Below are 24198 nucleotides of genomic sequence, written 5' to 3' on the forward strand. Positions count from 1 at the left end.
GCACGGGACGAGCGTTCTTACAAGAGCTGCAAAATTAGTTTTAGCAGTATTGTTCCTGTTTTACATATGAGAAAACCTAGGCTCAGCGAGGTCAGATTCCAACCAACCCAAATCACGCATCTTCTCCTGGCCCTTCGTTTTCTCTCGGGAGACATGGCCTCCCTACTATTGCATAATTACTTTGTGAAGTTAAAGAGCGTTGGGTGGAAATGAGTGGGACAGATTGGAGATGACGTGGGTGGGGTGGGAGGATTCAAGGAGGGTACGCGCCTGGCCGGACTGGGATGACTCTGCGGCAGGCCTGGGACTCCCTCAGGCCGACCCAGGCTTCCCAAGTCCCTCCTGGAGCCAAGGGCCCGGGATTCTCGGGCGGCTCGGGCGAGCGGGCGGGGCAGGAGGCGGGGCGGCGGCAGGAAGCTGCCCGAGCGGCGCTCTGAGCGGCCTGAGCCCGGCGGAGCCCTGCAGAACCCGGCCGACCTCCATGGGCTGCGGGGGGCTGCACCCGGACCCCTGGGGCGCGGCGCGCCCCTGAATGCACCGTGGGACGCAGGAGGTAGAGGCGCACGAGGCGGCGCAAGAGACATCGGGAGGGTCCTGAGCCCCTCCGGGGAGGAACGCGGTCCTAGGCTGAGTGGGTTGGGGGGAAAGCGATGCTGGCTGGGTCCCCTGGTTCGCAAGACCTCGGACTGCCAGGGGGTGGGGCCTCACCGCGCCCCTCCCTCTCCGGTTCGGGCCCCGCCCCTCCTCCTCCTGCGCCGGGCTGGGGTACCCCTCCTCCGGGATCCGGTACACAGCGTCGCGCGCTCCCCCCAGGGTGCCATGGCCTCCCGGCTCCTGCACCGGCTGCGGCACGCCTTGGCCGGCGACGGCCCCGGGGAGGCGGCGGCCAGTCCAGAGGCCGAGCAGTTTCCGGAGAGCTCAGAGCTGGAGGACGACGACGCCGAGGGCCTGTCCTCCCGACTCAGCGGCACCCTCAGCTTCACCAGCGCCGAGGACGACGAGGACGACGAGGACGAGGACGACGAGGAGGCTGGCCCTGACCAGCTGCCCCTCGGGGATGGGACGTCAGGAGAAGACGCAGGCGAGTGCAGGAGGACGGAGGCGGGAACCCTGGGGCTCGATTAGGCCTCCATCCCAGCCGCGTTCCCAGAGCATCCAGGGCGCTAAGTTGATCCAGCTGAAACTCCCACACTTCTTAAAGCGCCTGGGCCACCTCTTGGCTGTGTGACCTTGAGAGAGTCTTAACCCCCCTCTGAGCCAAGTTTTCCCTTGTGTCAAGTGGGAGAACTCACTCTCATCTCAGAATTGCTGCAGGCATTAAATGTACAGGGCTTGGGATCCGAATGGAAATGATGTATTAACGATATTTTGAGGGTGGAGCTATTAATTTAGCCCCTACTGTCTGCCAGGCACGGTGTTTGGCTCCTCGGTGCCTCTCTGTCCCTCAGTTTCCATTTCTGTAAAAAGGGGGTAAGTCCTGCCTCACACTGGGAGGATGAGTGAGGCCACGTCAGTGGTTGATGTCGACCCTGGCCCTAGGCCCATTGATATGACTGGTCATGTGTCTGCAGAACGGAGCCCCCCACCTGATGGGCAGTGGGGCAGTCAGCTCCTGGCGCGGCAGCTGCAGGATTTCTGGAAGAAGTCCCGGAACACCTTGGCACCCCAGCGGCTGCTCTTCGAAGTGACCAGCGCTAACGTTGTCAAGGACCCGCCCTCCAAGTACGTGGTGAGTGAGGGTCTAGAACCCCTGGGCTGTGAGTCCAGAAGTATGGCTAGGAGCAAGTAGGGAAGACCCCAACTTCCTGAGGGGTCTATGTAGTTATAAATGGTTACCTTGTTTACAAATGGGGAAACTGAGGTCAGAAAGGGGATGTAACTTGAGCAAATCCTCACACAAGACTTAGTTTCCTTGAGACTGACTGAAGTGGGGATTAAGGACCTTCCTCTTAACCTGGTTTTGAGACTAAGAGAACTGGTGTGTGCACTTCCCCACCCAGCCCACAAGGTTTTTGCAAATTGTAGCAAGATGTGAGATACAGAGAGACAGATGTTATCTGGGTCAAACTTGAGATCCAAGTTGCATGGGCTGGTAGTTAAGGAAATAGGCTTTCGATCCAGACCAATCTTGACTCCCACTTATTTCCAGTTGTTTGACTCTGGGTGAGTTGTTTAACCTTGGTCATCTTCCGTTTCCTCATTATAGCAATGGGGAAAATGCAGAAGATTACAGCAGGAGTTAAATGAGACAATGGACAAAAAGCCCTTAGCAGTGTGCCTGGCATTATGACGTGGTCAATGAAATGGTAGCTATGTCATCATTATTTAACTTTGGGTTGAAAATGTTTGTCATCTAGGGCCTGCTGTGTCCTTATAACGCACAGGTCAATCAGTTCTCAAGCACCCGACCTTGTCCCTAAGGGCTAGACTTAGAGGGTTGGTGGAGGTTAGGATGAAGAGCAATGTTGGGGAGGACCTTGGAGTCCCTTGCTGTTTTCCTTGCTGTTGAGAGACTGACTTGGAGAATGAGGTCTGCTCCTTTAATGCCCACAGCGACTCCTGCTCCAGTCCCTTTTCAGGCCAGGCCTGAAAGCCAGCTGAGCTGGCCACTCCTGTCAGTGGCAGCTCTCCATCTCTCACTCCCCTCCTCTTCACCACCCTTCTCCACCTCTGACTCAGCAGGAGGGGGCCTGGAGCCCAGTCCCACATCTGGGCCTCTCCACCCTTTTCTGTTGCTGTTAGTAAGCAAGGGCCACACCCATGGGGTGACTACTCCAATTTCAGCAGGGACCGACTCCGATTATTGAGTCTTTTAAAAAAATTTTTGAGGCCGGGCGTGGTGGCTCACGCCTGTAATCCCAGCACTTTGGGAAGCCGAGGCGGGCGGATCACGAGGTCACGAGACCATCCTGGATAACACGGTGAAACCCCGTCTCTACTAAAAATACAAAAAAATAGCCGGGCATGGTGGCAGGCGCCTGTAGTCCCAGTTACTTGGGAGGCTGAGGCAGGAGAATGGCGTGAACCCAGGAGGCAGAGTTTGCAGTGAGCCGAGATCGAGCCACTGCAGTCCGGCCTGGGCAACAGAGCGAGACTCCGTCTCAAAAAAAAAAAAAAAAAAAAAAAAAAATTTTGAGACAGGGTCTCGTTCTGTCACTCAGGCTGGAGTGCAGTGGTGCAGTCATAACTCACTACAACCTCCAACTGGGCTCAAGCTATCCTCCCACCTCAGCCTCCCAAGTAGCTAGGACTACAGCTGTGCACCACCACGTGTGGCCAATGATGAAGTCTGAAGTGGCAAAGGTCTCAGAACTCTGGGTTCATACACTGGAAGGGGACACCAAGGAATAGTTCAGAGGCTGAGAGGAATGGGGGTGACTGTGGGTACCTGGATGGGAAGGGATGACAAGATAGAGCAGGATGGCCAAGTATGCCCCGGCCTGTGTCTGGAGAAGCAAGGCACCTCCTGTGTACAATGGGGACCCTAATTCCCCACTCAACTTGTGGGGGTGAAGAGCACAGGCTTTGGAATCAGATCAACCTGAGTTTAAATCCCAGCTGGGCTGTTTTCCAGCTGTGTGACTTACGGCAAGTCTTTGAGCCCTTTTCCCCCTCTTTGAGCCTGCTTCCTCAGCTGTCAGAGATAAGGACCTTCCTTGCAGTGCTGTTGTGATGATTAAATGAAATCACAGATGTAAAGAGTGCTTGGTACAACAGGAGGCACAGGGTAAATGCTTGGGTAATGGAACTACTGTCATTATCACCCATCTGGCTGCATGTTACAAGGTCAATGAGATAATGGATACAAAATGTAAACTAGATGAACATAAAGGCTTATTATATAGACCAGTGTGTCCTGAAGAAAACTGGTGTCCTAAAGTGTGTCCTGCAGAAAACTAGTTCCCTGGAATGTTAATAGCTGTTTCTAAATAAAGGTTTTGCAGGCAATATGTTTTGAGAATGCAGAGTTAAATGAGAATACAATAAGTTTCTTTATTGTTAAAGTATTTAATCCCTAATAGTGATATACACTGTGAATCTTCAAGAGGACAGAGTAAGCAAACCTAACTGACCAGGAGTGGCTAGAGTATTGTCAGTTCCACAGAACAAATGTGAGAGAAAGATCTGGATTTGGTGTTAGGGTGCCTTTAACATCTAACACTGGTTAACTCTCCTTTTAAACCTGTTGGCTTGGCATTATAGGTTAATCCATATTCAGGTTCTCAGACCTGGGAGGCGGGGAACTTCGTGATCATCTTGTTCAGTGTTTTCCAAACCTCAGTCATTCCAATACCTCCCTGATTCTTGTCCTATCTAAAAATGCCACTTGTGTCCTTTTCTTCTTAACATTTTTCTTTAAATGAACCTATTTTTTTTTCTTTATCTTTTTTTTTTTCTTTTTTGAGACAGAGTCTTGCTCTGTTGCCCAGGCTGGAGTGCAGTGGTGCAATCTCAGCTCACTGCAACCTCCACCTCCTAGGTTCAAGCAATCCTCCCGCCTCAGCCTCCTGAGTAGCTAGGATTACAGGTGCCCACCACCATGCCTGGCTAACTTTTGCATTTTCAGTAGAGATGGGGTTTCACTGTTGGCCAGGCTGGTCTTGAACTCCTGACCTCAAGTGATCTGCCGCCTCAGCCTCCCAAAGTGTTGGGATTACAGGTGTGAGCCACTACGCCCAGCCGAACCTATTTTTTTTCTTAAATAAGTTTATCGAGACGGAGTCTTGCTCTGTCGCCTAGGCTGGAGTGCAGTGGCGTGATCATAGCTCACTGCAGCCTTGAACTCGTGGGCTCACATGATTCTCTGCCTCAGCCTCCTGAGTAGCTGGGACCACAAGTGCCCAACTAATTCTTTTTCTTTTTCTTTTTCTTTTTTTTAGAGACAGGGTCTTGCCATGTTGCCCAGGCTGGTCTCGAACTCCTGGCCTTAAGCTGTTCTCCTGCCTCAGCCTCCCAAAGTACTGGGATTACAGGTATGAGCCACTGTGCCCATCCTTTAAGTAATTTTAAAAGACAACTTCATAGCACTACCGTACGTGGAAAGTCTCACTTGCCACCGAGAGAAGCTAGCCATAAAAATAAAAGGTGAGGCACGGTGGCTCACACCTGTAATCCCCGCACTTTGGGAGGCTGAGGTGGGCAGATCACCTGAGGTCAGGAGTTCAAGACCAGCCTGGCCAACACGGTGAAACCCCGACACTACTAAAAATACAAAAATTAGCCGGATGTGGTGGTAGGCGCCTGTAATCCCAGCTACTCGGGAGATTGAGGCAGGAGAATTGCTTGAACCCAGGAGGCAGAGGTTGCAGTGAGCGGAGATTGTGCCACTGCATGCCAGCCTGGGCGACAGGGCGAGACTAAATAAATAAATAAAGTAAATAAGTAAGTAGTGAAAATGAAACGTCATTAAATCTTGCCTAGATGTTGTTGCCTGAAGGAGGCCCTGACCTGAGATCCACTTTCTGACTCTTTTCTAAAAATGGAGATGAGAAGTGTTAGAGAAGTACTTTTTTTTTTTTTTTTTGAGAGAGAGTTTCACTCTTGGTGCCCAGGCTCGAGTGCCATGAGCAATCTCGGCTCACCACAACCTCCACCTCCCAGGTTCAAGCAATTCTCCTGCCTCAGCCTCCCAAGTAGCTGGGATTACAGGCATGTGCCACCACGCCTGGCTAATTTTGCATTTTTAGTAGAGACAGGGTTTCTCCATGTTGGTCAGCCTGGTCTCGAACTCTCAACCTCAGGTGATCCACCTGCCTCAGCCTCCCAAAGTGCTGAGATTACAGGTGTGTGTGTGAGCCACTGCAACCTGCCCAAGAAGTCCTTTTTTTAAAACCAAACTGAGAGCTGGCCAGGCGCGGTGGCTCACACCTATAATCCCAGCACTCTGGGAGGCAAAGGCGGGCGGATCACAAGGTCAGGAGATCGAGACCATCCTGGCTAACACAGTGAAACCCCGTCTCTACTAAAAAATACAAAAAATTAGCCGGGCGTAGTGGCAGGCGCCTGTAGTCCCAGCTACTCGGGAGGCTGAGGCAGGAGAATGGAGTGAACCCAGGAGGCGGAGCTTGCAGTGAGCCGAGATCGTGCCACTGTACTCCAGCACTCCAGCCTGGGCAACAGAGCGAGACTCCGTCTCAAAAAAAATAAAAAAATAAAAAAACCCCAACAAAACCAAACTGAGAGCTTCTCAATTTGTAGTCAGAAAGATTAAAAAACAATTAGGCTGGGTGTGGTGCTCATGCCTGTAATCTTAGCACTTTGGGAAGCCTAGCTAGGAAGATTGTTCAAGGCCAGGAGTTCAAGGCCAGCCCTAGCAACATAGTGAGACCCCCCCTCATCTCCATACAAAAAAAAAAAAAAAAATTTTTTTAAATAGCTGAGTGTGGTGGTGCATGCCTATAGTCCTAGCTACTTGGGAGGCTGAGGCAGGAGGAATGCTTCAGCCCAGGAGGTTGAAGCTGCAGTAAGCTATGATTGTACCAGTGTACTCCAACCTGGCCAACAGTGAGACCCTGTCTCAAAAAATAATAATTAAAAGGGGACCAACCTCCTGATACAGTGATATTTACTCTAGTGCACACCACCTAAAAACCTCAGGTACCAATACTTGTACATGTCTCATTTTTGGACAAACACTGACTTGACCGAGCACTTCCTTCACTAGAAACAGAAGTGGACCCAGAGGGGGACTCCCTTGCCTGGGTCACACAGAGAAGGAGTAGCTGACCTGGGGTTAGAACTTGAGTCCTAGGCCAGTATACTTTTCACAGTTATGGCAGTTGTGGCTATCTACAGACCTGTCCTCTGGGTCTAGTTTGGAAAAGCCTGACCAGGGATGTGGAGGCCAGGTGTCCAAAGTGGAACAAGCTCCAAGCTGGTCCTAAAGGAGCCCCAAGAGATTGGCTGGGGTTTCAGCTTATGTCTGGTTTTCCAGAGGGGGCTGTCAGAAGAACTAATGCTCTATGGGAAGGGAGTACAAAAAAAGGGGCAGCAGCCCCGGGCACTGAAGCTCATCTCTGTCTTTCTCTCTTCTTGCTGCCTTGGGCCTGGGTCATTTCAGACAAACCTCAGGTAAGATGGGACTGGGCTTCCCCGCCACTGCGCAGCAGCTCCCGCCCTCCTGGGTGCTGTCCCAGGGGTGAAAGGAAGAGGTGGGGAGGTACAGCTGGGAGTGTGGGGGATGGGGAAGGATGGGGAGGGAACGGGCCCGTGGACAACTTGCATTTGCCCTGACACCCACCCTCCCTGCAGCTCTACACCCTCGCCGTGATCGGCCCAGGACCGCCAGATTGCCAGCCAGCCCAGATCTCTCGCCGTTACTCGGACTTTGAGCGGCTGCACCGAAACCTGCAGCGGCAATTCCGGGGCCCAATGGCTGCCATCTCCTTCCCCCGTAAGCGGCTGCGCCGGAATTTTACTGCAGAGACCATTGCCCGCCGTAGCCGGGCCTTTGAGCAGTTTTTGGGTCACCTGCAGGCAGTGCCTGAGCTGCGCCATGCCCCGGACCTGCAGGACTTCTTCGTGCTGCCGGAGCTGCGGCGGGCACAGAGCCTCACCTGTACTGGCCTCTATCGTGAGGCTCTGGCACTCTGGGCCAATGCCTGGCAGCTGCAAGCCCAGCTGGGCACCCCCTCTGGCCCAGACCGCCCCCTGCTGACCCTGGCTGGGCTGGCCGTGTGCCACCAGGAGCTGGAAGACCCTGGAGAGGCCCGGGCATGCTGTGAGAAGGCCCTGCAGCTGCTTGGGGACAAGAGCCTCCACCCTTTGCTGGCACCCTTTCTGGAGGCCCATGTCCGGCTCTCCTGGCGCCTGGGCCTGGACAAACGTCAATCAGAGGCTCGGCTCCAAGCCCTGCAGGAGGCAGGCCTTACCCCCACACCACCCCCCAGTCTCAAAGAATTGCTCATCAAGGAGGTGCTGGACTAACCCTTGCCTAGATTTAAGGCCACTGTGAGGAGAGGGGTTGCCCCAGAAGGCAGGGGAAGGACCTGATGAGAACAGAATAGCTGGGAGGCTGCAGAGGGTGCTGGGAGCCCCTAGAAGTTCCAAAAGAGAATGTGAAGCAGATCAAGGAAACTTCTGTTGAGCTAGGCTCAGGGTGAGCTTTGGCTGGGGTTGCCCTTGTGTAGTACAGGGAAGTCTGACACAGCCTCTCCAGCCTATAAACAGCCGGGGGGCTGTGGCACAGGTTGGGGCAATGTTCCCTTGTTGGTGGGCCCCCAAGCTGGCAAGGCCTCTTGGCTGAAGGCCAGGGACTCTGCCCCTGGAGTCCTGGAGTTAAGGGATGAAGGCAAGGCTGCAGGTCTGGCCCAGGGGAATTAAAAGCCAGCCACTCCAGTGGTATCAGTCTCTTTATTGGATGTGAGGGCCAAAAGGGACTGTAACTCCTGTCTCAGGAATGGGGATAGATGGGAGGTTCTTGAAGCCCCAGGCGAAGCTGGTACCTCTGGCTACAGCTTGCTCTCTGAGACCTGGGGCTTCACTCGGATCACGCCCTCCTGGGCACAGGTCACAGCTAGGACTCCATCCTGACGCCACAGCCGCCCATGGACCAGCCCCCGAGAGCCACCTGTGGGTGAGGTGAAGGGTGATGATGGCCTGCTTCAGAACAGCCAAATACACTTTTTTTTTTTTTCCTGAAACAGAGTCTCACTAAGTTGCCAGGCTGGTCTCAAGCGCCTGGGTTCAAGGGATCCTCCCGCCTCAGCCTCCTGAGCAGCTGGGATTACAGGCGCACATCACCATGCCCAACCTCCAAGTGGACTTCTTGCAAAGGGTCTGGCCCAGGGCAGGGCTGCCCCACACAAGGGTGCACTGAGTGTCGTGGCTGCTCCAAATGCCCCTTCATGAGCTTATTATGGACCGTCATTGAGGGGTAACTCCTCCCACAGGAACCCCAGTTGACAGTTTAAAAGCACTTTCACACCTCTCCTCGCTTCCTCAAAAAGATCACAGAGGGAGGAGCTCTGAGAACAGTCTCCTTCAACAGCTCGGCCAAGCAGAACTGCTGTACCTCTGACCACTTGTGTTAGGAAAACTATCGGCTCCCTGTATAATAAATCAAGCCAGGTCCTCCAAGTGGTAATTCATGAAAAATATCCCCACTACCACCACCAAGGGGAAGAAAGGACTCAGAAGAGAGGACTTGAGGCCATGAGGTCTGGCCTCTTCCCTCCCCATCTGGAGACTCTTTCTCCCTTGCTGGCTTTGGGCCCAAGTTTGATGTTTATGAGGATGATTGCTGGTTTCCCTTACACATAGCAGAGCTCACTCAGTTCTCACAGTAGCCAAATGAAGCAGTTATGTGTTGTCCAGTTTTCCAGACCAGGACTGAAATCCAGAGAGGGTCAGGAATTTGGCCCCATGATGAAGCCAAATCTGAACCCATGTCCTCACTTCAAGGTTATCAATCTTGGATTGTGATGCTATTGGTACTTGAGAATACCCCTTATCTGAGTATAAAGAATCCTTGAGTTTTGTCCTTGGTTTATCAAGCAAAGCTTTTCTTCATTTGAAATGTACTCCCTTGGAAAGGAGGTCAGGGTTCTGAAGCTAGACATTGATGAACGAGTCTTGTTTCTCTCCCCTGCAAGGAAGGTCCAAGCAGGCCCTTAGGGACCACTGAATGCCCCGATCCCAATCAGGTTAATCAGAATCACTTAGAGAACTTAAAAATACAGTTTCCTGGACCTTATCCAAGACCTACTGAGTGAGAATCTTGAGGGTGGAATCAGAATCTATTTTGAAAAGGCATCCCCAAATGGCAGTCTGATGGACTGCGGGTTTGGATACCACTGCTGTAATGTAACCCTCTTTGTTTAGATGAGGAAACTGAGGTTCAGATGGAAGATATGATTTGCCTATTGTAATACAAAGAATCTGAACTGGTTTTGGGACTAGAACTGGGTCCCTGGGAGAAGGTGAATCACATTTCCAGCACATTCTAGAAATTTAGAGCAGAGCAGGTGTCCCGGCCTCACCCTCTCATTTTGAAGATGAAGATGCCAAAGCCTGGGAGGGAAGGAAAGGAAGTGACCTGTGCAGCGCCACACAGGAAGTCGGGAAATCAGCATCACCCAAGAAAGCAGGCTCCTGCCACTCAAGGTCAGTGCCCTTGTCCCACACGGCCCCACACTCACCGGCCCAGGGGCTCTCGCATTCATAGAGCATCCAGTGGTCAGCTCGGAAGGGGGCGTGGAACCACATGGAATGGTCCAGTGAGACCATGAAGTGCACCTTGTGCTGCCACTGGTGAGGCAGCAGTGCAGTGCCCAAGAAGGCATAGTCGGAGATATAGGCGGCCACGCAGCAGTGCATCTTCATGTCGCCCTCGCCTGCAACAGGTCCCCATCAGCCCTGGGCTCCTGGGCTTTCCAGCTCAGGACCTGCACGGAGGTAGGGGGAAAAGGGACTCCCGTGCATGGGTGTGCAGACTGGTTGCTGCACAAGAGCGCTTGGCCTACAGTGTGTGTGTGTGATAGGGGAGAAGTGAGATGGCGACTTGGGGAGGGCAGGGGTGAGCAGGGACTGAAATTCAGTCTTCACCACCCAAGTCTCCCACTCTAGGCCCCAAAAGGGGTGTCTTCTTCCAATTTGCACAAAGATACTTTATAGTTAGCAGCAAAGCTGGACAACAACCCCAGCGAGGTGCCTTTTGCCTTCCTCAGAAAGGCCTTGTGTCGGGATTATAGTCATCTCCACCTTCTCCCCATGCAAAGGGCTGAGAGGGCCCAGGTGAGAAGCTAAGCCAACTTCCCCATCATGCAGATAAGGAAACAGGCCCAGAGAAGGGAACTCATGTGCCCAAGGCCACACAGCAAATGAGTGGTAGACCCCTTGGAGAGTGGTTTCCTCCCATCCATGGGGTACTCTTACCAATATAGCCCCGGGCTCGCACCCAGAACATCTGTTTGGGCTCCATTCTCTGCAGCTGGCTCAGGGGGGATGGGTTTACTGGCTTGATCTCAATGGGGACCTCCTGAGCAGCAATTCGGTTGAGCGCCAATGGGTACCTCTTTTGGAGGTTAGGGTCCCTGAAAGTAAAGGGAAGAGGGTCGGGGTGAGACCCAGGAAGAGAGGGAGTCACATCTGCATTGCCTCTTCTGACTCCCCTCATTCTTCCACAGGGACCCCTGATATCCCCAAAGCTCCCCTCCCCTGTGGCAGGCAGGATAGTGCAGCGTTTGAATCCCTTCTTGGCCACTTACGAGCCATGTGGTCTCGTGCTAATTAGTAATCTGAGTCTATTTTCCCATCTGCAAAATGTGGATAATGATAGTAACCTACCTCATAACCAACACTGTGAAGACAAGATCATGAATATCTAACCAACACATCATAGTAATAAGGCATACCCTGTAATATGCACTGTTCTAAGCATTGTACATACAATAGTATTCCTCACAACAACCCTGTGAGATAGGTACTATTATCACCCCCATTTCATCAGTGAAATAAGCACAGAGTCCAGGTAGCTTGCTTAAAAATTGGAGAGACAGGATTTGGACTCAGGCAATCTGGGTCCACAGTATGATTATTTTCTATTTTTTTAGAGACAAGGTCGTCTTCTCACCCAGGCTGGAGTACAGTGGCGCAATCAGCTCACTGCAGTCTCCAACTCCCAGGCTCAAGCCATCCTCTTGCCTTGGCCTCCCGAGTAGCTGGGACTAGAGGTGTACGCCACTGTGCCTGGCTAACATTTTTATTATTTCTTTATTTTGAGACGGAGTCTAGCTCTGTCACCCAGGCTTGAGTGCGGTGGTGCAATCTCAGCTGACTGCAACCTCCGCCTCCCAGGTTCAAGTGATTCTCCTGCCTCAGCCTCCCGAGTAGCTGGGATTACAGGCGCCTGCCACCATGCCCAGCTAATTTTTGTATGTTTAGTAGAGATGGGGTTTCACTGTGTTGGCCAGGGTGGTCTCGAATTCCTGACCTCATGATCCGCCCGCCTCAGCCTCCCAAAATGCTGGGATTATTTTTACTTTTTTTTGTAGAGATGGGGTCTCTTTATGTTGCCCAGGCTGGTCTCAAAATCCTGGCCTTAAGTGATCCTCCTACTTCAGCCTCCCAAAGTGCTGGGATTACAGGAGTGAGCTGCTGTGCCCAGCCACTTCATTATTTTAAACACTCAAGAAACAGGCTGCCTGACTTGGCCTGAGTTACCAAACCCTACACAGTAGGGAACATTGCATCCCCCCAGGGGGAGGAGCCCATTCCAAGGAACTCCCTTCAATACAGTGACAACCACCCATAGTGCTCTGCACAGGTCCTGCCATTTTCACCCCTATCCTCTGGAGTGCTGTTGGACAGAACCTCCTATGATGATGGAATGCCTATCTGCACAGCACACTATGGTAGCCACTAGCCACATGTGACTATGGAGCACCTGAAATGTGGCTAATGCAACTGAGGAACAGAATTGTTCATTCTACTGACTTTGGTTTTTTTTTGTTTTTTTTTTTTTAAGACGGAATCTCGCTCTGTTGCCCAGTCAGGAGTGCAGTGACTCAATCTTGCTTACTGCAACCTCTGCCCCCTGGGTCCAAGCGACTCTCCTGCCTCAGCCTCCTGAGTAGCTGGGATTACAGGCACGGGCCACCACGCCTGGCTAATTTTTTTGTGTGTGTATTTTTAATAGAGATGAGGTTTCACCATGTTGGCCAGGCTGGTCTCAAACTCCTGACCTTGGGTGAGCCACCCGCCTTGGCCTCCCAAAGTACTGGGATTACAGGCATGAACCACTGCGCCCGGACCTATTTAATTTTAATTAATGTAATATAGCCACGAGTGGCTAGAGACTACCTTATTAACAGCACAGATCTAAATTCAAGGTCCTTTAACAATGTCTTCCTTTCATTTCAGCAAACATTTGTCGAACTGCAACCACACACCAGGCCCTGTGTTTTTTCTGTTAATAGTGATATAACTACAATTCACTGCCATTGTGCTAGTTAGTACTAGCACGCTAAGTGCCTTTTCTCTCTTATTTAATCCTCACAGCAGCCTTATGAGGTAGGAATATGATTAGCACCATTTTATAATGGTGAGTACTGGCTCAGAGTGGGAAAGCAACTTGCCCAAACTCACACAGCTAGTAGGGACAAAATCTAGAATTGAATCCAGGCCTTTCAGGTTCCCAAACCCACATCCATCCCGTCATACTCTGCTGCCTCCCCAGTATCTAACACGAGATAGAGACATTCTCTCCTTATGATACAGCTAAGAAGTAGGCAGGGCAGAAATGAGCATTCCCATTTTTTAGAAGAAGAAACTAGGGCCCTGGGGAGTTGGGCACTGTCCCACAGCAGGTGAGCATTCACAGAGGCACAGCCCTGGACAGAATCCATGTGTCTATCCTTTGTCTGGACCCAGAGCTCTTTCCCCTGTACCAGCATTTTTCAAACTTGATTAGGTGTGATCCAAATAAATATATTTTACCAGGTATTCAAAATATCTAACATGCTCCCTGGTGGTCTAATGGTTAGGGGAAAATACATATTTGTATTTTTGTACATATGTTTTATATACATAAAACATGTGGCCGGGCACGGTGGCTCACGCCTGTAATCCCAGCACTTTGAGAGACCAAGGCAGGTCGATCACTTGAGGTCAGGAGTTCAAGACCAGCCTGGTCAACATAGCGAAACCTGGTCTCTACTAAAAAAATACAAAAATTAGCCAGGCATGGTGGCATGTGCCTGTAATCACAGCTGCTTGGGAGGCTGAGGCACGGGAATTGCTTGAACCTGGGAGGCAGAGGTTGCAGTGAGCCGAGATCATGCCACTGCACTCCAGCCTAGGCAACAGGGCGAGACTCTGTCTCAAAACAAACAAACAAACAAAAACATGCACTAATGCAAAGGCAGTGACCAAACATAGGCCATAGCGCTGCAGCTCTCCAGAGGACACTCACTCCTGGTGTGCATTAAGTCCTAAGTTGCTGGACCAGGGGCCTGGGGGAGAGAGGGAATCACTTAGGGGGCTGGGGAGGTGGTACTTAACAAGTGGTTACGGAAGTATTTCTATATACATATATATATAAAATATATATATGGTTTTTTTTCCCAGGTATGGTGGCTCATGCCTATAATCCCAGCACTTTAGGAGGTCAAGGTGGGTGGATCACCTGAGATCAAGAGTTTGAGACCAGCCTGGATAGCATGGTGAAACGCCATCTCTACTAAAAATACAAAATTAGCTGGGCATGGTAGCAGGTGCCTGTAATCCCAGCTACTTGGGAGGCTGAGGCGGGAGGATCACTTGAGTCTGGGAGTCAGAGGCTGCAGTGAGCCGAGATGGTGTCACTGCACTCCAGCCTGGGCAACAAGAGCAAGACTCCATCTCAAAAACAAACAAACATGTATATATATAAACAACAACAAAATATATATTCTTTTTTTCTTTTTTCAGACAGAGTCTTGCTCTTGTTGCCCAGGCTGGAGCACAGTAACACGATCTCGGCTCACTGCAGCCTCCACCTCCCAGGCTCAAGTGATCCCCCCGCCTCAGCCTCCCAAGTAGCTGGGACTACAGACACATGCCCCGACACCCGGCTAATTTTTGTATTTTTTATAGAGACAGGGTTTCACCATGTTGCCCAGGCTGGTCTTGAACTCCTGGGCTCAGGTGATCCTCCCACTTGGGCTTCCCAAAGTGTTATTATAGGTATGAGCCCCCACACCCAGCCCCAGCCTTATTTTTAAATTAGAGATGGAGTCTTGCTATGTTGGCGAGGCTAGTATCCAACTCCTGGTCTCAAGCAATCCTCCTGCCTTGGCTTCCCAAAGTGCTGGGATTATAGGTATGCGCCACTGCACCCGGCCAAGCCCTTCATTTTATACCATGACCCAGTACAGACACACACCAGAAACACACATGACTAAACCTCAAGTTTCACAAAAGGATTCTTGCCCTTAATACATACATATTATTCACTCCAGTATCTTCTTTTCTAATCTGTATTTTAAAAATGCTGGTCAAGACCCACTAAAGGATTCTATGACCCACAAACAGATAGCAGCTGCATTTTGAAAAGTCTGCCATGGAGCCTCCAGGTCTCTCACCTTAAATACTGGTCAATGAGGGTCTCACAGTCAAGCAGCTCTTCTGGTGGTGGCACAGTGGGCATGGAGAACTGGTGCTGCATGGGGCTGGGCTGGGCCTGCTGGAAGGAGGCCTGGCAGATGAAGATGGGCTTCCCATGTTGCACGGCCTTCACAGAGCGCACCGAGAAGCTCGACCCTGTTCGTGTCCGCTCCACTTGGTACAGTACTGGCAGCTTCGGGTCCCCTGCAGTGGGCACAAGGACACAGTGGGTCCACAGGCCCTGTCATCATCACAACGCCTGACAGGCACTCTACTACTCATCTTCCATTCCATTTCATCTCAGTGACTACTAACTGAGGTCTGCTAAGGTCCAGGCCCAGGGATACAGAGACCACCAGGCCCTGTCATCAGGCTTCTCCCTGTGCAGGTGGAGCTTTTCTCTAACAGCACAAACAGCAGAGACATTGACAGATTCCTTGCATTCAAATCCTGGCTCCACCACTCACCAGCCGTGTGACCCTTCACTTCTCTGAGCAGTGTGCTTATTTGCAAACTGGGGATCATCATGGTGCTCATCGCTTACAGGATTTTAATGATAATGAAATGAATCCGTAGTTGTAAAGTGTTTAGAATAATATCTGGCACATAGTGAGGGCTCTATATGTGTTTGTTAAATAAAATTAATACTCCTTGCTTCTATCTTGCTCCATCTATGCCTGGGATCTTGTCATCAGTCCAAAACCATTATTCTAGATCAGGGAGCAGTAAATCTAGCCTGCAGCCTGTTTACTGTTTATTCTGTTGTTGTTTTCTTTTTTGAGAACAAACAAAGGCTATTTATTCAGCGCTTGTTCTTTTTTTTGTTTGTTTGAGATGGAGTCTTGCTCTGTCACCCAGGCTGGAGTACAGTGGTGTAATCTCGGCTCACTGCAACCTCCACCTCTCAGGTTCAAGCGATTCCTGTGACTCAGCCTCCTGAGTGGGGGGGGACTACAGGGGTGCATGACCATACCCAGCTAATTTTTTTTTTTTTTTTGAGAGACAGTTTCGCTGGGTCACCGAGGCTGAAGTGCAGTGGCGCTATCTGGGCTCACTGCAACCTCTGCCTCCCAGGTTCAAGCCATGCTCATGCCTCAGCCTCCTAAGTAGCTGGGACTACAGGCGTGCGCCGCTACACCCAACAAATTTTTGTATTTTTTGTAGAGATGGGGTTTCACTGTGTTGCCCAGGCTGGTCTCAAACTCCTGACCTCAACTGATCCACCCACCTTGGCCTCCCAAAGTGTTGAGATTACAGGCATGAGCCACTGCGCCCAGCCAATCAGAGCTTGTTGTAGCAGGAAGTCAACCACCATCACTTGCTTTTGGCAGAGACTTAGAGGCAGGCAAAGGAATGGGAATGCTCTGTAGTGGAAAAAAAGGCTTCAGGGATGCTCCCATTGCAGGCTGTTGGCATGGGGAAGCTGTTGGTGGGCTAACTAGAAGCATGACACCTGGCTGGGCACGGTGGCTCACACCTGTAATCCCAACACTTTGGGAGGCTGAGGCGGGCAGATCTTCTGAGACCAGGAGTTCAAGACCAGCCTGGCCAACATGGCAAAACCCTGTCTCTACTAAAAATACAAAAAATTAGCCAGGCCTGGTGGCACACACCTGTAATCCTAGCTACTCGGGAGGCTGCAGCAGGAGAATTGCTTGAAGCTGGGAGGTGGAGGCTATGGCAGGAGAACTGCTTGAACCTGGGAGGTGGAGGCTGCAGTGAGCCGAAATTGCACCACTGCACTCCAGCCTGGGGAACAAGAGTGAAACTCTGTCTCAAAAAAGAGTGGGACATCCTATGTGATTGGTTAGGAGTACATATTTGGCTTTCTCCGGTTGGTCCTAAGTTGGAAGCAGGGGCAAAAATTAGGGCAGCTATCAGTTATTAATCAAGTCCTGGCTTTGGAGGCCAATTGTTACAGTGGTCATTATTTGGCTTGCTGGACTGGTTGGTAAAGATAGTGGTCTGACTTCCTACAAGTCTGACTTGTGGATAGTAGGCTGGCTTCCTGTGCTGGTTGCTGCTATTGTGCGTCAGAGTTCTGTTTTTCTACATGGTCTAGCCATTGTCTGTTTGTATATTCAGCCTCTCCCAGGCAAGGGCCACTGTCAGTCACTTCACCCCTGATGTATATGGAAGCCATTTGGTCCTTCACTGTCAGGTGTCTCTGCTCCAAAGCAGAGTGGAAGAGCCTAGGCAACACAGGGAGACCCTGTTTCTACAAAAAATAAAAAATAAAAATTAGCTGGACATGGTGGCATGTGCCTATAGTCCCAGCTAATCAAGAGGCTGAGGCGGAAGGATCACTTGAGGCCAGGAGATCAAGGCTGCAGTGAGCCATGACTGCGTCACTGTGCTCCAGCCTAGGTGACAGAGCAAGACCTTGTCTCAAAAACAACAAGACCACCACCACCAGAGTAGAAGGCACTGGCCAGGGATAAGGCAGCCAACAACAAGCAGGTGAGGGAAGATTTGGAGAGGAAGAGAACTTCCCTGGTTTCCCTGAAGTTCTCACTTTGTCTGAGTCAGGCTGACCTTGAGGAACCCTGACATCTGGGCCATGAGACATCTTGGGGATGACTTTCAACCTTCAGATGAAAGAAGCAGGTCTAGAGAAGTGTTGCTTCCTTCACTCTGATCCAAATGGGGAGTCAACCAGGCACCAGGGCTCAATCAACAGCAATAAACATCACTGTCTGAGGTCAACTGGCTTGCTCAGCTCTCTGTTATCAGGCACTGCCACCAGCAGCACTTCTATCAGAGTGCGAGCTCCTCAAGGTTAAAGGCATTTGAGAAGGGCTTACCAAGAGTCCAGACACTAGACAAAGTTACTTGTGCAGTCTGCTTTCAGACACTGGGAATGAAGTCTTCCTCCCTACCACCAAACTTGGGGGGAAAAAACAAAAAAAAACCTCTAATCCAATCCTTGGTCTGCAGGTAAGCTAAAGTGCAGATTCCTGAGGAGGATCACAGAAACTTCAGTACTCTGGTCTACCTTTCAGTGTGAATGAGTTCCAGCCCTATTCTTGAAAATTGTTATTGGAACAGAGCAGGTAGGCCCTGAGGCATATTGAAGGGAGTTAATGATTATGGAGTGATGCAGGGTGCCTGACAGCATTGGACAGGAGGGTATGTTTTCTCATGTTGGTCTCACAATAACTATGTAGAGCCACTCTTACCCCCATTGTACAGATGAGGAAACTGTTGCCTTAAAATACAATTTTTTTGTAATAAAGTCATGCTAATTTGTTTACATATTGTCTATAGTTGCTTTCACTGGCAAAACCTAAAATGTTTACTATCTGGCCCTTTCTAGAATGTTTGCTGACCTTGTTCTGAATTCTTCAAGCTCTAAATTTACCTCTGTAGAGAAAAACTAAAAACAAAACAAAAACCCAACTAATTCACATTCTTTCCTGGGCTTTTAGAAAAAGAACTGATTTGATAAATGGCCAAGGACCAACCCTCCCCCTCCCCCATAACATCTTTTATTTTTAAAATGTAATTGAAACATCTCTTTTTTGTTTTGTTTTTTTGAGATGGAGTCTCGATCTGTCGCCCAGGTGGGAGTGCAGTGGCGCAGTTTTAGCTCACTGCGACCTCCAGCCGCCGGGTTCAAGCAATTCTCCTTGCCTCAGCCTCAGCCTCAGCCTCCCGAGTAGCTGGGATCACGGGCTAAGGTCACCACGCCCAGCTAATTTTCCTTTTTTTTTTTAGATGGAGTCTTGCTCTGTCACCCAGGCTGGAGTACAGTAGCACGATCTCAGCTCACTGCAACCTCCACCTCCAGGGTTCAAGCGATTCTCCTGACTCAGCCTCCTGAGTAGCTAGGACTACAGGTGTGCACCACCACACCTGGCTAATTTTTGTGTGTGTTTTTTTTTTTTAGTAGAGATGGAGTTTCGCCACATTGTCCAGGCTGGTCTCGAACTCTTGACCTCAGCCGATCTGCCCGCCTCGGCCTCCCAAAGTCCTGGGATTACAGGCATAAGCCACATGCCCAGCCAAAAAACAGCATTGGTTTTAATATCTGATATAGCTGGCAGAGTCACACCACAAACAGATAAGAGCTCTCCCCTTTTTGCCTTGCAGCCAGGAAGCTCAGAACTAAACCTTGTATGAAACTGCAACAATATGGCTTAGCCAAATTTTTTGACATGATCGCTTCTCCCAAATCCCATTACTACTGGCCTAATGTCCTTTGACTTTTAATATTCCCATAATAACTACCAATTATTTTAGCTATCTTGCAGCCTTTCAAGACACAAGCAAGGGCACAAATAATTATTTTTATTTATTTATTTATTTTTGATGGAGACAAGAGTCTCGCTCTGTCGCCCAGGCTGGAGTACAGTAGCATGATCTCAGCTCACTGCAACCTCCGCCTCCTGAGTTCAAGCAATTCTCCTACCTCAGCCTCCTGAGTAGCTGGGACTACAGGCACATGCCGCCATGCCTGGCTAATTTTTAGTATTTTAGTAGAGACTGGGTTTCACCATGTTGCCCAGGCTGGTCTCGAACTCCTGAGCTCAGGTGATCCGCCCGCCTCGGCTTCCCAAAGTGCTAGGATTACAGGCATGAGCCACCACGCCCGGCCAAATAATTATTTATTTTGAAATGGTGGCTTGGACACAGCTCATTTCACGCTGCTCCTGGATGAAGACTTTCCAAGAAAGAGGATCTTTTCCCCAGAACCTGGGATGGGTACCCTGGCAGCTCTCTCATTGTTTAGAATTATTGCCCAAGAGCGAAGCAAAGAAGCAGGAAAGAGTTTGGCACTCAAAGACACATAAACCAGGTTCAAATCCTGGCTCTGCCTCCTTGGGCACTGTGGGAGCTGGTTCCAAACCTCTTCAGGTCCCAGTTTCCTTAGGTAAGAATGATGGCAGGAATGCCTGCCACCCATGTTTACTTATGAAGACTAAACAAGATAATGCACACAACTATGCTCTGTATCATGCAAATTTTAATTATTCCCATAAGTTAATCATCAAAAACTAATAATATTTATGGAAAACTAGATTATGCCAAGCCCTGCACTAGATACTTTACTGGCAAAGACTCATTGAATTCTTCCATCACAGGATGAAGAGATTCAGAGTTCAAGTAATGCCCCCACCCACACAAAAGAAAACAGCCAGGTATTTCACTAGGCTGGAAGGATTACAATATCAAAAGGCTGGTACTTACAAACAAATTAAAGAAACAAAGCACATATTTACTCCCAACTAGCATAAAGATAAGAACCTGGCTGAGCCCAAGGTAAGTATTCAAATACTTTATAGCAGTGACTGGGGGCCGAGAAGAGGGGGGCCAATCAATACTCCTCAGGGATGAGGAGTAAGAGACACGGGACAGTATGAAAAAGTGTATTTACCATTACAGGGATAACTTTCATATTTACAAAATGAAGGGGGAAACCCCATGGTTTTCTTAATACAAATCACATACTGTAAAGGTCCACAAACTCTTCTCAGCTGGGGATCTACGCAGAACACATGAGGGCATCTGCTCTGGGGGTAACAGGGAAGGAAAGAAAACAGTGAGGGTTTTTTTTGTTTGTTTTTTAGCATAGGTTTTGCTTTTATTTTCCTTTTATTTATTTTTTTGTAGAGACAAGGTCTCGATTTATTGCCCTGGCTGGTCTTGAATTCCTGGGTTCCAACAATTCTCCGCATTGGCCTCCCAATGTGCGGGGATTATAGGCATGAGCCACCACACATAGGTTTTTTGTTTTTGAGACAGAGTCTCGCTCTGTTGCCCAGGCTGGAGTGCTCGCCCAGGCTGGAGTGCAGTGGCACGATCTTGGCTCACTGCAAGCTCCGCCTTCCGGGTTCACACCATTCTCCTGCCTCAGCCTCCCGAGTAGCTGGGACTACAGGCACCCACCACCACACCTGGCTAATTTTTTTATATTTTTAGTAGAGACGGGGTTTCACCGTGTTAGCTAGGATGGTCCCGATCTCCTGACCTCGTGATCCGCCCGCCTTGGCCTCCAAAGTGCTGGGATTACAGGCGTGAGCCACCGCGCCCGGCCTCACACATAGGTTTTAAGTTACATTATCTGACCCCAGAGCTGTAAGAAGCTGTAGAGATCATCCCACTAAAATACCCTTGGTCCCACCCTTCTCCATTTTACAGCTGAAGTAAACCAAACTGTAGGGCGGGGAGGTAACCTCACAAGGCTGCATGGTAAATTATGGACAAAACTGAAGCTAGGCCCTACATCTTTGGTTTGTTTTTATTGACCCTATGCTCAGTTGACAAAAGAAGCCTTAGATCCCTTGACTCTCAGGCTGGTGCTCTCTTCTCCAACCCAAGCTGCCCTACCTCCACACCTCTAGCACAGAGGTCACAGCACACTGAGAACCTAGCACAGCGCTCCGCACCAGGAGCTATGTTAAGAATGGAAGAACAAAAGCCCACAAGGAGCAGTTAAGCAACAAAGTCTTGTGTCATTATCAGCCAGACATCAGGTACCCAGTGAGTCCCAGCAGGTGTGAGGTCCAAGGCTCATTGTTAGCCCCAGACCTCGTTCCACCCTAGACACCTCTTAGGGTGGTAGTGTCCGCCACCCCTCCCCTTGTCTTCCAGTCTCCCTCTCTTCCCTTTTGACCTCAGCCCCCAAGGCCAGAAATGGCTGCTGGGCCACCAGGGTTGGGTTGGGGCAGGAAGTGGGGGGTTTACCTGCCCGAACAAAGTAGCAGTGCAGGGAGTGCACGTGGACGTCTTCACTCACAGACTTGGCTGCAGCCACCAGGGCCTGGCCCACGATCTGACCACCAAACAGCCTCTTGGCCGGTACCCAGTAATGCCTTCCTCTGTAGGGAGAGGGGGAAAGAGGGAAAGACTTGGGAACTGGGCCAAATTCTACTACCCTCACTAAGACTCTAATGCATGATCTCTTCACCATATTGGGGTTTAAGATCCTTTTGAGAATATGGTAAAAGCCATAGGTCCTTTCCCCAGGCAAATATCCTTATGCATAAAAATCCTCTGGGCCGGGCGCAGTGGCTTACATCTGTAATCCCAGCACTTTGGGAGGCCGAGGCAGGTGGATCATTTGAGATCAGGAGTTCAAGAGCAGCCTGGCCAACATGGTGAAACTCCATCTCTACTAAAAATACAAAAATTAGCTGGACGTGGTGGCATGCACCTGTAATCCCAGCTACTCAGGAGGCTGAGGCAGGAGAATCACTTGAACCCAGGAGGCAGAGGTTGAGGTGAGCCAAGATCGCACCACTGCACTCCAGCCTGGGTGACAGAGCAAGACTCCATCTCAAAAAATAAAATTAAATAAATGTATAAATGAATAAATAACAAGAGCCCTCAGACATCAAGTCTAACTCCTTCAGTGTACAGATGAGAAAACTGCAGCTTGGCCCCAGAGATGAAAATGCTTGCCCAGAATGTAGGCCCATTGGAAGCTGAATAATTATGTCTCTAGCCTCCCACGTCCCAGCTGTTTGGCATTTTCTGTAACAATGAGTTATGAACAGCCCTCCATGACCTGGCAGGTGGCTCTCGCCTGTAATCAATCCCAGCACTTTGGGAAGCCGAGGTGGGAGGATCGCCTGAGCCCATGAGTTCAAAACCAGCCTGGGCTCCAAAGTGGGGCCTCATGTCTACTAAAAATAAAAAAGTTAGCTGGATGTGGTGGCAAGCGCTTATGGTCCCAGCTAAACGGGAGACTGAGGCAGAAGGGTCACTTGGGCCCAGGAGGTCGAGGTTGCAGTGAGCCATGTTCGTGCCACTGCACTCCAGCCTGGACAACAGGGCCAGATCTTGTCTTCAAAAACAAAAATCAAATAGCCCTCCAAGAAGTTATTTACAATTCCTTAAGTGGAAGGAAGGGAGCTCAAAGTAAGATAACTTCCAGTAAAGCCAGGAGAAGCCTTGGAGGTCAAAGCTGTTAGAAGCCTTGCTGCAGGGGGCTGGGCGCGGTGGCTCATGCCTGTAATCCTAGCACTTTGGCAGAGGTGGGCAGATTACAAGGTCAGGAGTTCGAGACCAGCCTGGCCAACACGGTGAAACCCCGTCTCTACTAAAAGAAGTTAAAAAATTAGCTGGGCTGTGGCGCGCCTGTATGTCCCAGCTAATCAGGAGGCTGAGGCAGGAGAAATGCTTGAACCCGGGAGGCGGAGGTTGCACTGAGCCGAGATCGCACCACTGCACTCCAGCCTGGGCAACAGAGCAAGACTCCGCCTCAAAGAAAGAAAGAAACCCTTGCTGCAGTCAAGAACTTCAGCGATGCTGGGAAAGAAAAAAACATGCTTAGGCCTCAGAATAAGTAATGAGAAACCAGACCCACCAAATGGTACTGGGGGCGGGATATTGTGAGAAGAAAAGGATACTGAAGACACAAGGAGCTGCGGCGTCGGTTTTAAGGCTGATCCATCAGCTGTGTGCCCTTGGGCAAATCACTGCCCTCTCTGGGCTAGCTCCCCCGTGAAGGCTTAGGGCAGGCTGCCGAGCAGGGTCTCTCAGGTCACCACTATATTTGCTCAGCTGTGCAGACCTCGCAGCGCGGAGAGGAAGGGAGGAAGCCAGAGCAGAGAGGACAGCTCTGTTGGGGGCGAGTTCTCTCCTAATCGTGGCAGAGGGTGCATCCCACGCAGAGCCATACTAGTCCCGGAGCCAGGGGCCCCGGGCGGCGGCAGTCAAGATCAAGTTTCTGCCCTAAAGGAGGGGATGCTGGGCAGGAGCTGCCGGCTACCTGAAGAGATCCTCGTCCAGCGGCTCGAGGTTGAGCACGGTCGTGACCAAGACGCTACGGAGGTCCCCAGGGGGATCGCCGCGGTCGCCACAGCCCTGCCCATCTTCTGGGGCCTGCGGGGACGACATCTAGTTCAATGCTGCAGGCCCTGCACACCCGCTCCGCGGAAGACGCGGAGACATACACAGAACCTGACTCTTCCGGCAGATTGCCCTAGTAACCGGAAGTCTCCTGCAGACCCCGGGAAGGAGGAATCTAGGTTATGATTGGTCAGGACTCCTGTCAGTCCGCTGGTGGCTGTGGCCCTCTTTCTCTAGCAATTGGAGAAAATGAATGCCAATCTGCGAATCCTGTGTGTGACTGGATATGTCGCTGAGGAGGCGGAACCTCGGGACTGG

General features: G+C 50.6%; 2 protein-coding genes across 14 annotated transcripts, besides 10 other annotated features; one reads left to right on the forward strand and one right to left on the reverse strand.

Moving 5' to 3' along the window:
- Positions 412-9889, forward strand: SNX21 (sorting nexin family member 21). 9 transcript variants are annotated; one of them, NM_001042633.3, is made up of 5 exons: positions 412-553; positions 814-1081; positions 1572-1729; positions 7061-7071; positions 7252-9889. In NM_001042633.3, the coding sequence occupies exons 1-5, from the start codon at positions 533-535 to the stop codon at positions 7268-7270; spliced, it is 477 nt and encodes a 158-aa protein (NP_001036098.1). In that variant the 5' UTR covers positions 412-532; the 3' UTR covers positions 7271-9889. The 9 variants fall into 9 exon arrangements, with proteins under 9 accessions (NP_001036098.1, NP_690857.1, NP_219489.1 ...); NM_152897.3 differs by lacking the exon at positions 7061-7071 and having other exon boundaries at positions 7252-7393; positions 8646-9889; NM_033421.4 differs by lacking the exon at positions 7061-7071.
- Positions 456-765: a silencer, noted in NCBI's record as "silent region_12963". NCBI's record gives its function as "represses an Ori minimal core promoter by ATAC-STARR-seq in GM12878 lymphoblastoid cells {active_cell/tissue: GM12878}" and the evidence as "EXISTENCE:reporter gene assay evidence [ECO:0000049][PMID:35858748]".
- Positions 786-905: a silencer, noted in NCBI's record as "silent region_12964". NCBI's record gives its function as "represses an Ori minimal core promoter by ATAC-STARR-seq in GM12878 lymphoblastoid cells {active_cell/tissue: GM12878}" and the evidence as "EXISTENCE:reporter gene assay evidence [ECO:0000049][PMID:35858748]".
- Positions 946-995: a silencer, noted in NCBI's record as "silent region_12965". NCBI's record gives its function as "represses an Ori minimal core promoter by ATAC-STARR-seq in GM12878 lymphoblastoid cells {active_cell/tissue: GM12878}" and the evidence as "EXISTENCE:reporter gene assay evidence [ECO:0000049][PMID:35858748]".
- Positions 6815-7368: an enhancer, noted in NCBI's record as "H3K4me1 hESC enhancer chr20:44468841-44469394 (GRCh37/hg19 assembly coordinates)". NCBI's record gives its function as "activates a minimal SCP1, AML or CMV promoter by ChIP-STARR-seq in primed H9 embryonic stem cells {active_cell/tissue: H9 hESC(primed)}" and the evidence as "EXISTENCE:reporter gene assay evidence [ECO:0000049][PMID:30033119]".
- Positions 6818-7018: a silencer, noted in NCBI's record as "fragment chr20:44468844-44469044 (GRCh37/hg19 assembly coordinates)". NCBI's record gives its function as "represses an EF-1alpha promoter that drives an FKBP-Casp9 reporter gene in an ReSE screen in K562 erythroleukemia cells {active_cell/tissue: K562}" and the evidence as "EXISTENCE:reporter gene assay evidence [ECO:0000049][PMID:32094911]".
- ACOT8 (acyl-CoA thioesterase 8) lies at positions 8334-24005 on the reverse strand. Of its 5 annotated transcripts, NM_005469.4 has the most exons (6): positions 23801-24005; positions 21772-21905; positions 15063-15288; positions 10876-11033; positions 10140-10334; positions 8334-8569 (listed from the first exon to the last, which is right to left on the reverse strand). In NM_005469.4, the coding sequence occupies exons 1-6, from the start codon at positions 23926-23928 to the stop codon at positions 8451-8453; spliced, it is 960 nt and encodes a 319-aa protein (NP_005460.2). In that variant the 5' UTR covers positions 23929-24005; the 3' UTR covers positions 8334-8450. The 5 variants fall into 5 exon arrangements, with proteins under 5 accessions (NP_005460.2, XP_005260296.1, XP_047295766.1 ...); XM_005260239.4 differs by lacking the exon at positions 21772-21905; XM_047439810.1 differs by lacking the exons at positions 21772-21905; positions 23801-24005 and adding an exon at positions 20536-20566.
- Positions 8477-9029: an enhancer, noted in NCBI's record as "H3K4me1 hESC enhancer chr20:44470503-44471055 (GRCh37/hg19 assembly coordinates)". NCBI's record gives its function as "activates a minimal SCP1, AML or CMV promoter by ChIP-STARR-seq in naive and primed H9 embryonic stem cells {active_cell/tissue: H9 hESC(naive and primed)}" and the evidence as "EXISTENCE:reporter gene assay evidence [ECO:0000049][PMID:30033119]".
- Positions 15940-16140: a silencer, noted in NCBI's record as "peak4224 fragment used in MPRA reporter construct". NCBI's record gives its function as "represses an SCP1 promoter by STARR-seq MPRAs in K562 erythroleukemia cells {active_cell/tissue: K562}" and the evidence as "EXISTENCE:reporter gene assay evidence [ECO:0000049][PMID:32103011]".
- Positions 20279-20808: an enhancer, noted in NCBI's record as "OCT4-NANOG-H3K27ac-H3K4me1 hESC enhancer chr20:44482305-44482834 (GRCh37/hg19 assembly coordinates)". NCBI's record gives its function as "activates a minimal SCP1, AML or CMV promoter by ChIP-STARR-seq in naive H9 embryonic stem cells {active_cell/tissue: H9 hESC(naive)}" and the evidence as "EXISTENCE:reporter gene assay evidence [ECO:0000049][PMID:30033119]".
- Positions 20809-21338: an enhancer, noted in NCBI's record as "NANOG-H3K27ac-H3K4me1 hESC enhancer chr20:44482835-44483364 (GRCh37/hg19 assembly coordinates)". NCBI's record gives its function as "activates a minimal SCP1, AML or CMV promoter by ChIP-STARR-seq in naive H9 embryonic stem cells {active_cell/tissue: H9 hESC(naive)}" and the evidence as "EXISTENCE:reporter gene assay evidence [ECO:0000049][PMID:30033119]".
- Positions 21339-21868: an enhancer, noted in NCBI's record as "NANOG-H3K27ac-H3K4me1 hESC enhancer chr20:44483365-44483894 (GRCh37/hg19 assembly coordinates)". NCBI's record gives its function as "activates a minimal SCP1, AML or CMV promoter by ChIP-STARR-seq in naive H9 embryonic stem cells {active_cell/tissue: H9 hESC(naive)}" and the evidence as "EXISTENCE:reporter gene assay evidence [ECO:0000049][PMID:30033119]".
- Positions 24006-24198: the final 193 nt, after the last annotated feature.

The sequence above is a fragment of the Homo sapiens genome, chromosome 20, assembly GCF_000001405.40.
Source record: "Homo sapiens chromosome 20, GRCh38.p14 Primary Assembly".
NCBI lineage: Eukaryota > Metazoa > Chordata > Mammalia > Primates > Hominidae > Homo > Homo sapiens.

Excerpts from the sequence above, each read along its gene's own strand:
- ACOT8 (NM_005469.4), bottom strand. The coding sequence starts at position 23,928 with ATGTCGTCCCCGCAGGCCCCAGAAGATGGGCAGGGCTGTGGCGACCGC. Across the intron at positions 21,906-23,800 it reads CTGGACGAGGATCTCTTCAG|AGGAAGGCATTACTGGGTAC; the intron begins GTAGCCGGCAGC and ends CTCTCCCTACAG. Across the intron at positions 8,570-10,139 it reads ATGCGAGAGCCCCTGGGCCG|GTGGCTCTCGGGGGCTGGTC; the intron begins GTGAGTGTGGGG and ends CCTCACCCACAG.
- SNX21 (NM_033421.4), top strand. The coding sequence starts at position 533 with ATGCACCGTGGGACGCAGGAG. Across the intron at positions 554-813 it reads TGCACCGTGGGACGCAGGAG|GGTGCCATGGCCTCCCGGCT; the intron begins GTAGAGGCGCAC and ends CGCTCCCCCCAG. Across the intron at positions 1,082-1,571 it reads GACGTCAGGAGAAGACGCAG|AACGGAGCCCCCCACCTGAT; the intron begins GCGAGTGCAGGA and ends ATGTGTCTGCAG.